At 58.6% G+C, this 14,477-nt stretch overlaps 1 protein-coding gene across 6 annotated transcripts in view, besides 2 other annotated features; it reads left to right on the top strand.

The window, feature by feature from the left end:
• Nucleotides 1-14,477, top strand: part of MLLT1 (MLLT1 super elongation complex subunit) — a 69,595-nt gene that overhangs the window by 41,290 nt on the left and 13,828 nt on the right. For 4 of the 6 annotated variants that reach the window (NM_005934.4, XM_011528021.1, XM_011528022.2 and 1 more), the window contains exons 4-5: nucleotides 7,973-8,116; nucleotides 11,584-11,709. In NM_005934.4, coding sequence (NP_005925.2) covers nucleotides 7,973-8,116; nucleotides 11,584-11,709 — 270 coding nt within the window. The remainder of the gene's footprint in view (nucleotides 1-7,972; nucleotides 8,117-11,583; nucleotides 11,710-14,477) is intronic. The other 2 variants (XM_047438846.1, XM_011528023.1) reach the window with 1 other exon arrangement.
• Nucleotides 5,394-5,688: a silencer, noted in NCBI's record as "tiled region #3427; HepG2 Repressive DNase matched - State 10:DNaseD, and K562 Repressive non-DNase unmatched - State 7:EnhWF". NCBI's record gives its function as "represses a minimal TATA promoter and a strong SV40 promoter by Sharpr-MPRA in HepG2 and K562 cells {active_cell/tissue: HepG2 | K562}" and the evidence as "EXISTENCE:reporter gene assay evidence [ECO:0000049][PMID:27701403]".
• Nucleotides 10,953-11,618: an enhancer, noted in NCBI's record as "H3K4me1 hESC enhancer chr19:6227079-6227744 (GRCh37/hg19 assembly coordinates)". NCBI's record gives its function as "activates a minimal SCP1, AML or CMV promoter by ChIP-STARR-seq in naive H9 embryonic stem cells {active_cell/tissue: H9 hESC(naive)}" and the evidence as "EXISTENCE:reporter gene assay evidence [ECO:0000049][PMID:30033119]".

Below are 14,477 nucleotides of genomic sequence, written 5' to 3'. Positions count from 1 at the left end.
TCCCCACTGTCTTCCCAGCTCCAGGACAGGGGCAGGGTGGAAGGGACACAGGTGGTGTTGAATTCAAATTGAGAGCTGTGAGGCAGGCTGGGGGCCAAGCCAAGCTTATCTATTTAATTCTCCTTTCTAATATAGATGACGTAAAAAGCATACACAGAAGCAGAGAGAATGGCAGAGCAGCCGCCCCCCACCTCCGGCTCCCACAGCCGCCAGCCTGCATGGGGTGCTTTCTCCTCTCTCCCCGCAAGGGTTGTTTTGAATCAGGTCCTAGACATCACGTCTACTAATCTGCTAATATTTCCTGCTGTGCCTGTAAGATAAGATTCTTAAAACAAAAACCCTAACCACAATATCATTCTGGCTAGAAATTGGTAAATTAGTAATTCTTTAACATTATCACATGCCCAATACCATCAGTTTCCCCTATCATCTCTCACACACACAGTCAGCTCTCTAGAGCCTGCAGCTAGTTCCCTGCAAAAACTGAGGGAAGCTCTGTGTGTGTGGACATACGTCTTTTAAAATTAACGTGTTCATGTCAGGATTCAAGTAAGGTTGGAGCTTCTCTCTGTCTTTCCCTCTTTAAGTCAGGGTCTCACTCTTGCCTAGGTTGCATGCAGTGGCCTGATCATAGCTCATTGCAACCTCGAACTCCTGGGCTTAAGGGATCCTTCTGCCTCAGCCTCCTGAGTAGCTGGTGCTACAGGTGCACTACTACACTCAGCTAATTAAAAAAAATTTTTTTTGTAGAGATGAGATCTCACTGTGTGCATGAGGCTGGACTCAAACTTCCGACCTCAAAGCGATCCTCCCACTTCAGCCTCCCAAAGTGCCGGGATTGCAGGCATGAGCCATTGTGCCAGGCCCAAGCATTTCTCTTGATTGCTTCGTCTCTTAAGCATCTTTTTTTTTTTTTTTTTTTGAGACAAGAGTCTCACTTAGTCGCCCAGGCTGGAGTGGCTCAATCTCCATCATTGCAAGCTCCGCCTCCTGGGTTCATGCCATTCTCCTGCCTCAGCCTCCCGAGTAGCTGGGACTACAGGCGTCCGCCACCACGCCCAGCTAATTTTTTTTTTTTTTTTTTGTATTTTTAGTAGAGATGGGGTTTCACTGTGTTAGCCAGGATGGTCTCGATCTCCTGACCTTGTGATCCACCTGCCTCGGCCTCCCAAAGTGATGGGATTACAGGCGTGAGCCACCGCGCCTGGCCAAAATGTTTTTTTAAGCCCAGCATGTGTCTGTGAACCCTGGGGCCTCAGAGGGGAATGCTGAGCAGCCGCTGGACAAGCTTGGCGGGGCAGAGATGGCCAGGAGACAGCCAGGGTCGGCAGGAGCGGGAAGACCTTGCAGGAGGGCTGGTTGCTCTCCCCTCACATCCAGGATTGGGAGGGAAGGCTGGGTGTCCTCCAGGTGGGGTGTGGGGCAGAGGGAGTGTGGCCTCTCAGAGGTGGTGGCAGCAGCAGGCGCTCCACGCATGGCCCGCCGGCCACAGGGCCTTTGCCTTGCTGTGCCTCGTGCCAAGGCCAGCCTGGCCACTCGGCGCCTGTGATCCTCATCCCAAGGAGCACCAGCAGGCGTGGCGGGCTCGCTGCCTGGACTCCCCACCCCGGGCACGGGATGGTGCATGCTGCAGCCTTTGGCACAGGCACCTGTTTGGCCAGTTCGTCTGCATCTTAGTTTCCCGAGGCCAGAGAGACGCTGGCTCGTGGCCAGCAGCCTGGGAGTGGGGAGCTGCTCGCGACCTGGCCCGGCCCAAGAACACGTGACTCTAGGAGGCTACTGACATTAGTGGGTCACAGCACAGTCCGGCTGGAGTCGCTAAGGGTGTCCCACCTGGGCTGGTTGGCCAGCCACCTTTGACTTTGCCATTGCTCACGGAGCCTGCTGCCAGGCCTCAGGGGCATGAAGGAGCTGCTATCCCAACATCTCCCAGGAGGCTGGTTTCCAGGGGTAGCCAGGAAGGGGTCCGCAGCCCCCTGGGATGCTCCTAAGCTTTGTAGGCCCAGGTCTCGTGTAGAGGGCATGCCGTTTAGTCATTCCCAGTGCCCGTGACTCACTGGCCGCTTCCAGCAGCCAATCTCAATCCCAGGGTGCTGGCCGCAGGGTGCTTCGGGGCGTGACCTCTACCTGGCCGGCAGGGGGTGCCTTCCTTGCTTTTCGGTGCTGCCCCTCTCTGCAGTTGTGAACATGCCGGGTCTCCTCGTCGTGGCTGCCTTCCCTGTTTGGTTTGTGTGGGCAACAGGAACCTCTCCAAGACCTGGGGCTTCCCAAGAACCTCTGCCGGGGTGCGCTGGCTCTGCTGCTGCCCAGATCCCCTGTCTGATTCAGCATCTTCATCTGTGACGGGGGGACACCAGGAACCCCTGGGTTTGGGGCTGTGAAGCATTCGTATCCGCTGAGTGCTTAGAAAGTGCCTGGTCACCATCAGCGCTCTGCAGACACTGTGACACGGTACAGTTGGTGTCACACTGGTGTCACTGCTGCGTGGCTGTTTCGCCTTTGTGCTCTGACTATCCGTAAGATTAGAGACCTCTTCTCTCTTGTGATCCCTGCTGGGATCTTATGGTAGGCGCCTGTGGCATTTTTGGTGGATACATGAGTATTTAGGGATGTTCAGCAGACAGGGTGCTAGTCCAGCACCAGGCCCATCAGGAACAAAACAGGACAGTCCCATTGTGTGTGGTGTTCATGGGTCAGTGGGATGCTGGGACAGAAGACAGACATGCTTTGGACTGTAAGGAGAGCTGGCAGAGAGTGAGCTGTGCTCTGTGCCTGGGGACAGCAGCAGGCCGGGATAAGGGCGGGTGGGGGTCAGGAAGGGGTGAGCTGGGTGGAGGAGGCGTGGAAGAAGGCAGCATGTCCCTCTGGCTGCACCGAGGATGTGGAGCCTCCTCCAGGCTCATCGAGGCCATTGGTGGGCTAGGGTGAGCCCTGAGCCCATGGAGATACCGTGCCTGAAAGGGGGCTGTGGTGGAAGCGGGTGACGGTTAGGAGGCAGGTGGTCCAGGAGAGAGGGGCTGGCTGAGGAGCTTGGGAGAAGCGGCTGGACTCGCTGTGCAGCCAGGGTGCACAGCTGTGGCCAGGAGTGTGGAGAGGAGAGGACCCAGTTCCGAGCCCCAGGGTGCCCTGTGCCAGGCAGTGGGCAGAGCTAGGGAGCGTCCCTGGGGCATCCCAGTGCTTTGGTACCGTCTGGCTGCGCCTCCCCAGGTGCCCTTCTTAGCCCAGGCTGCTTTGTGGGGGCACTCACGGCTTCTGTGGGTGATAGGCAGGGTGCTGAGCACTGTGGCTGTGGCATTGCAGCGAATCCCCCCATGCTGCCCGTGAGGAACCTGAGGCCTAGGAGGCAGGACCGTGGCCAGGCTCCTGCTGGTGTCCCTCAGGCCCCAGGCTTTCTGCACGAGGATGCCCCCCAGCCACGTTCATCCTCTGCACAGCCGTGCTGCCAGCGTCCACTCAGAAGTTACCAGGGAAAGTTGGAAGCATTTACAGAGGCAGATGCAACAAACCCCCTCGTAGCCGTCACCCACCCAAAGGTGGTCCCTGCACAGCCAAGCCCGTTCCAGCCTGCGCTGCCCTCCTGGTCATTCTGGAGCAAATCCCAGACATCCTCATTTCATGTGTAAATATTTCAAAAGGGGCCTCTAACAAGACAGTGCTACCAGGACCATACCCATGAATTAGTCATCTCTTATGTTACCATGTTACTTGGTTATATTAATTGATGATTAATAATCCCTTAGTCTCTCAATATGCCAGTGTTTAAAGTCTTGTTTTTTTTTTTTGTTTGTTTGTTTGAATCAGGACATTGATGAGATCCACACGCTGTGATTCTTTGGTTTGTCTCTTAAATTCCTTTCTAGATTCTCCCGCCCCCTTTTCATTCAAGCACTCTTTTTTTGCTTTGCTATGTATTTGGTGAAGAGTCAGGACCATGTGTCCCACAGAGCTTGGTACCATCTGGTTTTTGCTGCTTGTGGACATGCAGTGGCACTCAGGATCGCCCTCTGACTCGTGTGTCCGTGTCTTGGGGGCCTGAATCTGGAGGCTTGGTCTCTCTGTGTGGCTGCCCACGTCTCTGCTGTCGGCCAAGTGGATGGTGAGGTGCTAGGATGCTCTCGTGGTCCTTCTTGGGTCAGCTAGGACAGTCTGTGCAGGTTAGCTGCTTGCCTTCTCCGGGTTCACCTAGTGGTGTCACTTCTGTAGGAAAGGCAGGACAAGAGCTCTCCTCCCCCACCTCGTTCCCCTTTATCTGCCAGGTTCCAGCCAGCCCTGTGCCCAGAAGTGCCTTTGCGCCATAGGCCGGAGGGTGTGGCTTCCTGAGACATGGATGTGACCGTTGTTCCTGAGCTGAAAACCCTCCTCCACCTCCGGACAGGGCTCCCCCTCCGCAGGGGCGGCCAAGGCCCTTCTCCCCAGGGTCGGCGTCACCACCTGTCTCCACCACAGCTGTGCTGGAGCCCGGGGGTCCCGCGAGGACACCGCAGTCCATGCCACTGTTTCCTGTGTGAGGCCACGCGTGCTCCTGGCGGTCCAGCCTGGGCACCCGTCCACCTCTTACCCTTCTTGAGCCAACCAGCTCCTGGCCATCCTTCAGCCCCACCACAGCCTCCAGGGAGCCTTCCCAGCCCCTCCCACCCCTGCTGCTGGACCATCCCCCCTCCAGTCTGCCCTAGCATCTCACTCAGTTGGCTCACTTGGAACTAGGCCAGCTGCGTACCTCGGGGGAAGACAGGAGAGGAGTCCTCACAGCCCCAGGTTCCCAGTTTGGCAGGGACCCACTGGGACAAGTGTCTCCTTAAAGGCAGGGGCCACAGAGGAGGGGCACGTGGCCACATTTGAGTCCTCAAGGAAAGCTGCGTAGGGGAAGTGTGGACTTGGCGGGGGGCGTGTCGGTTAGGGATACATTCAGTTGCTCGGACCAGCTGTGTAGCAGGGGCTTCCTGTAGGGGCTGGTCTTCTTACAGGACAAGAAGGCAAGAGGCGCCAGGGCCTGGCATCCCTCCACATAGTCCTGTGGTGGAAGCCGCCCCCACAGGCACCACCTCTCGCGTTTTGGCAGGACAAAGAGAGGTGGTGAGAAACTTTGTCCCTGCAGTTTTGTTTATGACTTGGGAAGGAAAGCCCTCCCTAGGCCGCCCTCCCTTCCATGTCCTTACCCAAGCCTGTCACATGTCCCCTCGGACAAGGGGAGGGAGCCCTAGCCTGGCCCAGACAGGTCACACCTCCCCGCCTGGGGCTGGGGCAGAGACCCACTTTTCTGAGATCAGGGCTTTCCCCACACAAGGTCACTGTCGGCCACACCCGCTGGCCTTGGATCGGGAACCTGTTCATGTTCACTTGTCTGCTCTGACCGGACTCGTGGTTCTGGAGGCTCCTTCCCATGCAGGTGCACTTGGGACTCCTGGGCGGCCGCAGGAGCTGCCGCTGCCAACTGTGTTACTAGCTGGGCCCCGACTCCCAGGAGGCGCCTGTCCCCGGAGCTTGCGGAGCCTGGTGCCACCCGTGTGAGCCGTCCGGCACTGCAGGCAGGCTGGGGAGAGACGGCACTCTGCAGCACCTCGAGCCCCTTGGTCTGTCCCCTCTCACCAGGACTGAGGGTGTGGCCGTACACCTGCGAGCTTAGGCTGCTGGGGAAAGGGCTGAGAATAAAGAGGGTGCAGAGGACGCCGGGCCCAGAGCTCTGCCTTGCGTCCCCACTGCTGACTGAGCCGGTGTGATGTCTCGAGCTTCTCAGCAGTGTTCCCCAACTCAGAAGCCTTCACGGGACGCCCATCCTCTTAGTTATTTTTATCCCGGTGGACTGCATTTTAACAAAGTGCGTTGTGATTCACCTACCATAAAATTCAGCCTTTTAAAGTGTACAGATGTGGTGGTTTTAGTACATTCACAGTGTTGTGCAATCATCACAAGTTTTAAATTCCAGCATATTTTCATCACCCCCAAAAGAAACCCTGTGTCTGTTAGAGCCACTCCTGCACTTCCCACCCGCCAAGGTACCAACTCATCCATGTCTCTGCATTTGCCTCAGCCTCCCAAAGTGCTGGGATTGCAGGCATAAACCACGATGCCTGGGCCAAAATTTTGAAATGTTTCCGAAGTTCACGTGATCTAATTTTCCTTAGTTGCCTGTGCTTTTGGTGTTGTATTATAAGAAACAATTGCCTAATGCAGTGTCGTGATTGATACCTGTATTTTCTTCTGAGAGCTATGTGGCGTTAGTGCTTACGTCCAGGTCTCTGATCCATTTTGAGTTGTTTTCTGTGTGTGGGTGGAGTAGGGCCACCACCATTCTCCCCCGGGTGGGTATCCAGTTGTCCCAGCACCATTGGTTGAAGAGACTCCTCAGTCCCCATTGAGTGGTGTCGTCACCCTTGTCAAGCACCAGCTGCCCATAATGTTAGGACATGAGCCTGCATGTTTGTTTGCTTGTTTGTTTGTTTGTTTGTTTTTCAGACAGAGTCTTTCTCTGTCGCCCAGGCTGGAGTGCAGTGGTGCAATCTTAGCTCACTGCAACCTCCGCCTACCGGATTCAAGTGATTCTCCTGCCTCAGTCTCCCGAGTAGCTGGGATTACAGGCTCCTACCACCATGCTCGGCTAATTTTTGTATTTTTAGTGGAGACAGGGTTTCGCCACGTAGCCCAGGCTGGTCTCAAACTCCTGACCTCAAGTGATCTGTCTGCCTCAACCTCCCAGAGTTCTGGGTTACAGGCGTGAGCCACCGCGCCCGGCCCATGCACGTTGTTTCCATGAAAACCTCCCTTCTTCCGTGTGACATTCGTGCTTGTCATAGTGCGGTTTTCCCACACTCCCCTGGGACCTGTGGCTTACATCATTTGGGATGGGGCAGGGTTCTTAAGGAAAAGCAGATGAAATTGTCTTGCTTCAGCTGGGCGCGGTGGCTCACACCTGTAATCCCAGCACTTTGGGAGGCTGAGGCGGGTGGGTCACGAGGTCAGGAGATGGAGACCATCCTGGTTAACATGGTGAAACCCCGTCTTTACTGAAAATACAAAAAATTAGCCAGACGTGGTGGCGGGCGCCTGTAGTCCCAGCTGCTTGGGAGGCTCCAGGCATGAACCAGGGAGGTGGAGCTTGCAGTGAGCCGAGATCGCGCCACTGCACTCCAGCCTGGGCAACAGAGCAAGACTCCATCTCAAAAAAAAAAATGTCTTGCTTCGAAATTTCAAGGTTCACAGAAACACAGCCCCTGCACATGTGGCTAGGCCTCCACAGGAGCCCGTGCAGACAGCTCCTTCCTGCAAGCCTGCCTGCCCTGAGCCCTCCTGGCCTTTCTGTATTCATCACAGCCCCTCACTCACAGCCCTTTTCCAGGCCACCCTGTCAACTCCTCACACCTTCGTGCGGAAAATCCATCAGCGCCTGCCCCATGCCAGGCGAGCGTCCCTGTCTTCTGGGGTGGCGAGGGTGCGGGGCGGCACCCAAAGTGGACAGAGCCTCCTGGAAACTGGGTCGTGACCTTGTACTTTTGCCCCCTCTGGGTGCTGTGCTGTCGTTTGAGTCTGTGTCCTGTGTCCTGCGTCTGTCGGGCTTGGCCCTGGCTGCAAAGGAAGTGGGGAATAGAGGTGGTGAGATTGTGGGCCTCAGAGGCCTGGGGCAGGTCTCAGTGCTGCCACGTGTTAGTTGGTGTCTGTGCGTCGGTTTCCCTGTCTGTCAGTGGCGCTGTGAGGGTTGAAGGGGGTACATGTTTCCCATAACAGTCCGAGAGCATGGCTATGAATGAGCTTTCTTTCTGCCATGGGGCCTGCAAGACCCAGTTAGCTGCACATAGTAAGCTGGTCGATTTTGAATAAGGGCAGGGCAGGAGGTGCCCTGAGAGAGAAGTGGGCGCAAATCGGAGGGAGGGGAACAGAGGCCCAGTGAGGGAGAGGGGAGGACCAGGGCCAATGGGGAGCTGTGTCCCTGCACCACGGCCACCCTCTGATGCAGACTTTCTTGTTTTCTCTGTTTCAGGAGGAGCCGAGGAAGGTCTGCTTCACCTACGACCTGTTCCTGAACCTGGAAGGCAACCCGCCCGTGAACCACCTGCGCTGCGAGAAGCTCACCTTCAACAACCCCACCACGGAGTTCCGGTACAAGCTCCTGCGGGCCGGCGGGGTGAGTGTGCCCCGCCCCTGCCCGCCAAGGGGCCGCTCCACCGAGGCTACTTTGCTGCGGCCGTCTGTGCCCAGCCAGAGGTGTCGGTGCTGGGGGCCGAGACCCAAGGCGCAGGTCACACGGCAGCACCCAGCAGAGCTGGAGGGGACCTGGGAGCTCCACAACCTGTGCCGGGGCGTGGTGGCTGCAGGTGACTCGTTGCTGGTCACCCTGTGCTTCTGGGTGGCCATGGGTAATTAGCACCTTCCTGCAGGAAGTGCTGGGAAGGGATGGGCGCGAGGCTGGTCTGACCGCGTGGCTGGGCCTGGAGCTGGCTTGTAACTAGCTGGGCAGGGCCTCCGCACAGGGCCCCTGCCGTGCGCATCGCCATCACCTCTGACTTCGGGAGGCCAGACGACAGTGCCAGCTCTGGGACCAGGGCTCTCCAGGAGTCGTGTGGCCGGGACCCCCATGCGGTGGCTGGAGTCGAGCCCTCCGGACCCTGTGGGGGCTCAGAGTTCCCCACGAGGGCTCTTGGCAACAGGGTGGGCGCAGGGCTGGTGGTGGTTATGGAGGAGGGGGGCGTGGAGGGAGGGACGTGCAGGCTGAGGCCTGGTCACAGAACAGCAATGCCACCTTCAGGGCCCAGGGCCACAGAGCCTTTGCCTGGGTGCCAGCCTGAGCCTGTGATGGAGCGGGCTGGGGTGGCGTGTTGTGTGTCGTGTGCGGTGTGTGGTGTGTCATGTGTATGTACGTGTGTTGTGTGTGGCATGTGTCTCGTGTATGGTGTGAGTGGCATGTGTGGTATGGGGTGTGTGTCGTGTGTATGTGTGGGGTGTGGCATGTACAGTGTGTGGCATGTGTGGCATGTAGGGGTGTGGTGTGTGGTGTCACGGGTGTGGGGCGTGTGTGTGTGTTGTGTGGTATGTACATACGCTGTCTGCTGTGTCATGTATGGTGTGTGCATGGCGTGTGTGTCGTGTCACTTGCGGGAAGTGTGTGGTGTGTCACGCACGTATGGTGTGACGTGTGTTATGGGGAGTATGTGAATGTGTCAGGTGTGTATGTGGCATGTATGACGTGTGGGGTATGCGGGTGGGGTGGGTCGCCTCCTGAGTGGATTTGGGGCACCGTGGCTGTGGGTGTCAGGCTGGGGAGTCCTCCTTCCTCCTCATGGGGCATGGTCAGGTCCTTGGTGGCCGTCGTTCTCCTAAGAAGAAGGAGGCGTCTGTCCATGTAGAAGCTTGAGTGAGTCCTGCTGTGATCCTTGTGAAGCCCTGCTTGTGGTTCTGATCCGGGGAGGGCAGTGCCGGCGTGGGCCTATGTGGATGGCGTGGCTGAGTGCTGGGTGGCCTGAGGATGTGAGGGCTGGGTCCCAGCGCCCTCCTGGCTCCGCTTTTCCACCTTCTTTCATGGCCAGGTGTTTTCACCACGTTTGCAGTAGGTGTTTTTGGGCGTCCCCGGAGGTTCCGTGGTGGCGTGGCTGTGGGAAGTGGCGTTCCCTGGGCCGCTCTGGGCTGCAGCCAGGACCTGGCTCCCTGTGGGAGGCGGCTTCCTTTGCTCCACAGCGATGAAGGCTCTGAGGGCATCGTCTCAACACATAAAAGCCAGGGGCGGGGAGGAGGCGCGGGGCAAGGCTGGGAGGAAGGGCCAGTCAGGAGGGAGCGCTGGCTCCACAGAGAGACGCGCAGGCTGAAGCAGGCGCCGTGGGGGGTCTCTGCCCCAGGCGCTGGGCGCTCTGCCCTCTGAGGGTGGGCTGTCTGGGGAGCTGGCTGTCTGGGCAGGAACTTTCCAGGCCTCCAGGGCTTGCCCTGGAGTGGGGCTCTCAGCCTTAGGAGCAGCCGGAGGCCTCGGTGGCAGGGGCTCCTCTCGGGGCTTCCCGGGACCAGGCAGTGGCCGTCTAGCAGCAGGTGACCCCAGCCCCCCGCCGTGGGTGCTGGGAGACCCGGGAGGAGGGGCTGGTTTCTGTGTCAGCGAGCGCTGCTTTCTCTGCTCCTCTCACTGGGGGTTGCTTGGAGATCGGTAATGGGAGAGAGGGTAGGACTTTCCGCCGTTCCAGCCTTGTGCCCCTTAGGACCGTGTCTTGTCTCTGCCCCCATGGCTGAGGGTCTGTGTTTCCGCCGGGGAGCCTGGTCCTCCTGGCAGCACTTGTTGGAGGTGGGAGTCATCTGCGTGTTCAGTTCCCAGTTCCTTTTTCTCAACGGTCTGTGCTAGAGCGAGACACTGCGTGATCCTGAAACAGTCAGTCTAGGGCATTGTTTTGAGGGGAAAGAAGGTAAATTACCATGAGAGTCGAAGGAATGGGCCTGAGAGCGAATGGGGCTCAGCCTCCTGGCAAGCCCGTCTGTGCATGGCAGCCTTCTGTGGCTCCTCCGTGAGCTTGCGTGATGTGCGTGCTCCAGAGTGTGGAGGGCCTCCCGTGGCGTGTTTTCAGGGACGGCTGGGGCACACATGCTGTCAGTGCTGAGCTATCATGGTCAGACAGGCTCTGAGAAGCAGCTCAGAGCAGGGACCCTAGGGGCCCATGGCCTCTTTTCAGCCAATGTCCCCATGGCCGCATGACATCAGTGTCCTTAGATGAAAGGCTTGGCTGGCCGGGAACTGCAGGTGCTCAAGGCTGTTAGCAGTGCTTCTTCTACCGACTTCAATACTTTTTTTTTGAAGTGTATTTTCTTCTTTTGTTCTCTCTTGCGGCCATCTGGGAGGCTTTTCTCTGTGGTGGTGGCATTCCTTAACTCGCAGTGTTGATATCTCAAGACCTTGCTCCGAGCTTCCCCCTGCACAGCAGGTGTTTCCTGGGAGCCCTCCTGGAAGGACCCCAGAACTTTCGTCATCCGTAGCCTCTGATGGAGCGCAGGAGCAGGTGCCCCATGCTGCAGGCTCGCTGGCTCACTCGGGCCTGCTTTGCAGAGAGACCCCCCCAGTAGGCACAGGTCGTCTGCCTTGGTCTCGGCCTCAGCCTGGGTGCTCTTGCCCTGTTCGGGTCCGCTGCAGTCACCGCACACCAAGGACGGCTCATTCTCCGGGCACGTGGGACCCACTGGAGTTGCACCCATGTGCACCCCGGGAAGTTGCTGCCTGCCTTTCGCAGGCATCTGGCTGGCCTCTCACACTTCTGAGCTGTTCCCCCTAAACCTAAGCGCGTAGGTCAGGCTTCGGCCGCAGCTGCCTTCTCATGATTCTCAGTGTGCTCCGCAAGTCTTCTTGGGCCAGCCCTCCGGTCCACTGTTCCCGGAAGGCCGCGTGGCCCCACCTGGTCCCAGCCATCCTGGGACCCTGGGCTTTTCTTCGCTCCCCACCCATGCCTGCTTCTTCTGCGTGCTCAGCACCCAGTCCCCAGCAGGGAAGCACCTGGGATTCTTTCGGGAAAGCGCTCAGGCTCTCCCTTCTCCCCTCCTGCAGAGGGAAGCCCCACCACCTTCAGCCCGGCCCGTGTGGGCCCCCTGCCCCCTGCCCATCGATAATGACTGTCTCTTCTCTGTCACTAGGTGATGGTAATGCCCGAAGGAGCAGACACGGTGTCCAGGCCCAGTCCCGACTACCCCATGTTACCCACAATTCCACTCTCTGCCTTCTCTGACCCCAAGAAGACCAAACCATCCCACGGCTCCAAGGTTAGTGAGGCGGAAGGCCCAGTCGCGTGGGAGCGCCGGGGCCCAGCTGTGGTGGGTCTGGCCCCGGCGCCCTCCCTCCACTGGGCTGGGCCTTCCGCACCTGCTCGCTCCCTTGGCGTCTTCCTCTTTGAGCTCTCTGCACACCCCTCGCTGCGCACTGCCGCTTCCCTAGGATTTCAGGAATAAGCCCGTGATCATGGGCTCTTTGCCCTGTTCATCTTGAGGCCAGAGACCCTGCCTAGTCCTCTCCCGTTCTGCCAAGTGATGGCAGGGCCCCAGGACTGCTCGGCCTGAAGCCCTGAGACCTTCGCCGAAGGCTGTTGGGGCGGCCGCTGGGTAGAGTGTCTCTGTCTAGGCTGCAGCTACCCACCTCTTCAACCCTCCTGAGGGCAGCTGGGGCTACTTCTGCCCTTGGCTATGCCAGGCTTTGCATCTCGGGCTATGGCTCACTGCAGAGTTTCGTGGGGGAAGGGCAGGGGAAGCCAGGTGGGTGCCAGCTGAATTTCAGTGTGGAAGAAACTTTTTACGGTCTCATCTCGGCCCAGTCGGTCAGGTGGGTGGCACTCGGCCTTTCTGAGGCTTCTCTCTCTAAACCATCCCTGAGCAGCAATTCAGAAGACAAGCTAGAAAGCCCTTTGATGGCATCACAGTGTCCCTTTAACCCCTGAGCACGCCCCAGTCCTCTGTAGCTGCCCACTCAGCACAGCCGTTCCTGGAGGCTGAGCGGCACGGGCCCTCGGGGCAGCTGCCCGGTGCCTGCCACCCACACATCTCTCCACCGGTCCTCTCCTTTCTCCTCACCTCACTTGTCTGCCAGGCCCTGCGTGTGGGCCCAGCCATCCCAGGCAGGACAGGCAGGGCTCTCCAGCTGCCTCACAGACTCACCGTCAGCCATGCGGGAGAAGAACCGCAGCACCCAGGCAGGTCTTTCTGGCTCTTTCCCCAAGGCCAGCAGGTCTTAGAAATCGTCAGACTTGCCAGATTCTCTGAGTAGGAAACGGAACCCTGGGGTCTCCCCACTCGGCCTCCTGGCCTATCTCTCCCTGAGCCTTGTGGAGGCTCAATGAAGGAAAAGCTCTTGCTGGGGATCTTGGCAGTGTCCCTCTCAGCTACCACAACAAGATTTCTTCTGTACGGGTCACTTCAAGCCACCTAAAACCCTGCGTAGAAAGGACTTCTTGGTTGGAGAGGTGCCCTCCCTGGGGCTGGCGGGGCTGCGTCTGCTGGGGCTGCTGGTGGTATCTTTTGCCGGAGTGTCTCTGAGACCCCTGGAGGCCCCAGCTGGTGAGTTTATCCACCAGGCTTAGGAGGCCTGTGGGCTCCACCCTCTCCGTCCCTGGAGGCTTCTCCAGCTACCGGGTGGAGAGATGTAGGCGGCATCTGTGGGGAGCATCGGGCAGCATGGGGTCCTGCCGAGGCACTTGTCTGCTGAGGGCATTCTGAGAAAGCCCCTCTGCCCCGAGCCCTAGCCTGGCGAATGAGCTGTCGGCCCCACCATGGAGCCCTGGGTGGCACAGGCCCATGAACCGGCCTCTTCCCCAGCTGAGCGACCTCCTTTGGTCACTGGCTCTCTGCCTGGAGAGTGAGTGGCCGGGCCATGTGCTCCAAGCAGAGGGGCCTCAGCAGGGCTCCCTGAGCCCAGAGAGATGGGATAGGTGGGCCTTTTGGGGCCTTGCCCATCAGAATCCCCAGGCCGGGGGACTGCTGGTGAGTGCAGCTGCGGCAGCTTTAGGGGACTCAGTCCTGGGGTTTTGTCCCCACTTCACAGCCACCACCCAAGAGTGGCGTGGCAGGCAGGAACCACAGCCTCATAGAGGGGGCAGGACCCTCTCACAGCCTTGCCTGGCAGCAGCTGCAGGGAGCCAGGTGTCACCCATGTAATGTCAGGTACTTGGCCTGGTTGCTCTTTCCCGTGGAGGTTCGCAGACAACCTTGCAAACGTGATTTTGATGGCTTCTCACCCTGGAGAGTGCTCATGTTATGCTTAAAATTTAGTGCCTAATTCGGATCACGAGGTCAGGAGATGGAGACCATCCTGGCTAACACGGTGAAACCCCGTCTCTACTAAAAATACAAAAAGTTAGCCGGGCGTGGTGGCGGGCGCCTGTAATCCCAGCTACTCGGGAGGCTGAGGCAGGAGAATGGCATGAACCCGGGAGGCGGAGCTTGCAGTGAGCCGAGATCGCACCACTGCACTCCAGCCTGGGCGACATAACAAGACTCCGTCTCAAAACAAAAGCAAACAAACAAACAAACAAAAAAATCGTAGTGCCTAATTTCAGAACCTGTGGTGTCGGGTGCCTGTGCTCCTGTGTGGGAAGACTCCTTCTAGCCAGGCAGGCCCTGGTGGCAATGGCGGCTCAGCTGACTCCAGGCCAGGGGCACACAGTGAGACCTGTGTTAGGGGCCTCTGACGTGCCTTTGGAGTTTGCTCTCATTCTGCCCTTGGTGGCTGTGACCCCGGCTGAGCTCCTGCAGCCCAGCTGGGCGTGTGTCCCCTGCTGGAAGAGGCCAGGGTGGCAGGTGGCATTGCAGTCTCTCACACCTCCCTCCTTGGGTAGTAGCTTGCTGTGGAGCACAGCCCCATTCCACACCCCAGCTCCCAAGGGGACACCCCCTGATAGCCCTGCATGGCCCAGGCCAGCTGGGGGGATTCTGGGGGCACTCCCGCTGTCCCAGGTGGAAGAGCCAGGCTGGGCACAGGGCTTGCCCTTTCTCCAAGGAGGTGGCAGAGGCCTCACAGCCACTGGTACTGTTCCTGAGCCTTT

Source organism: Homo sapiens, chromosome 19, assembly GCF_000001405.40.
Source record: "Homo sapiens chromosome 19, GRCh38.p14 Primary Assembly".
Lineage (NCBI taxonomy): Eukaryota > Metazoa > Chordata > Mammalia > Primates > Hominidae > Homo > Homo sapiens.
The sequence above is the reverse complement of the archived record's forward strand: the minus strand, read 5'-3'. Positions and strand labels throughout refer to the sequence as shown.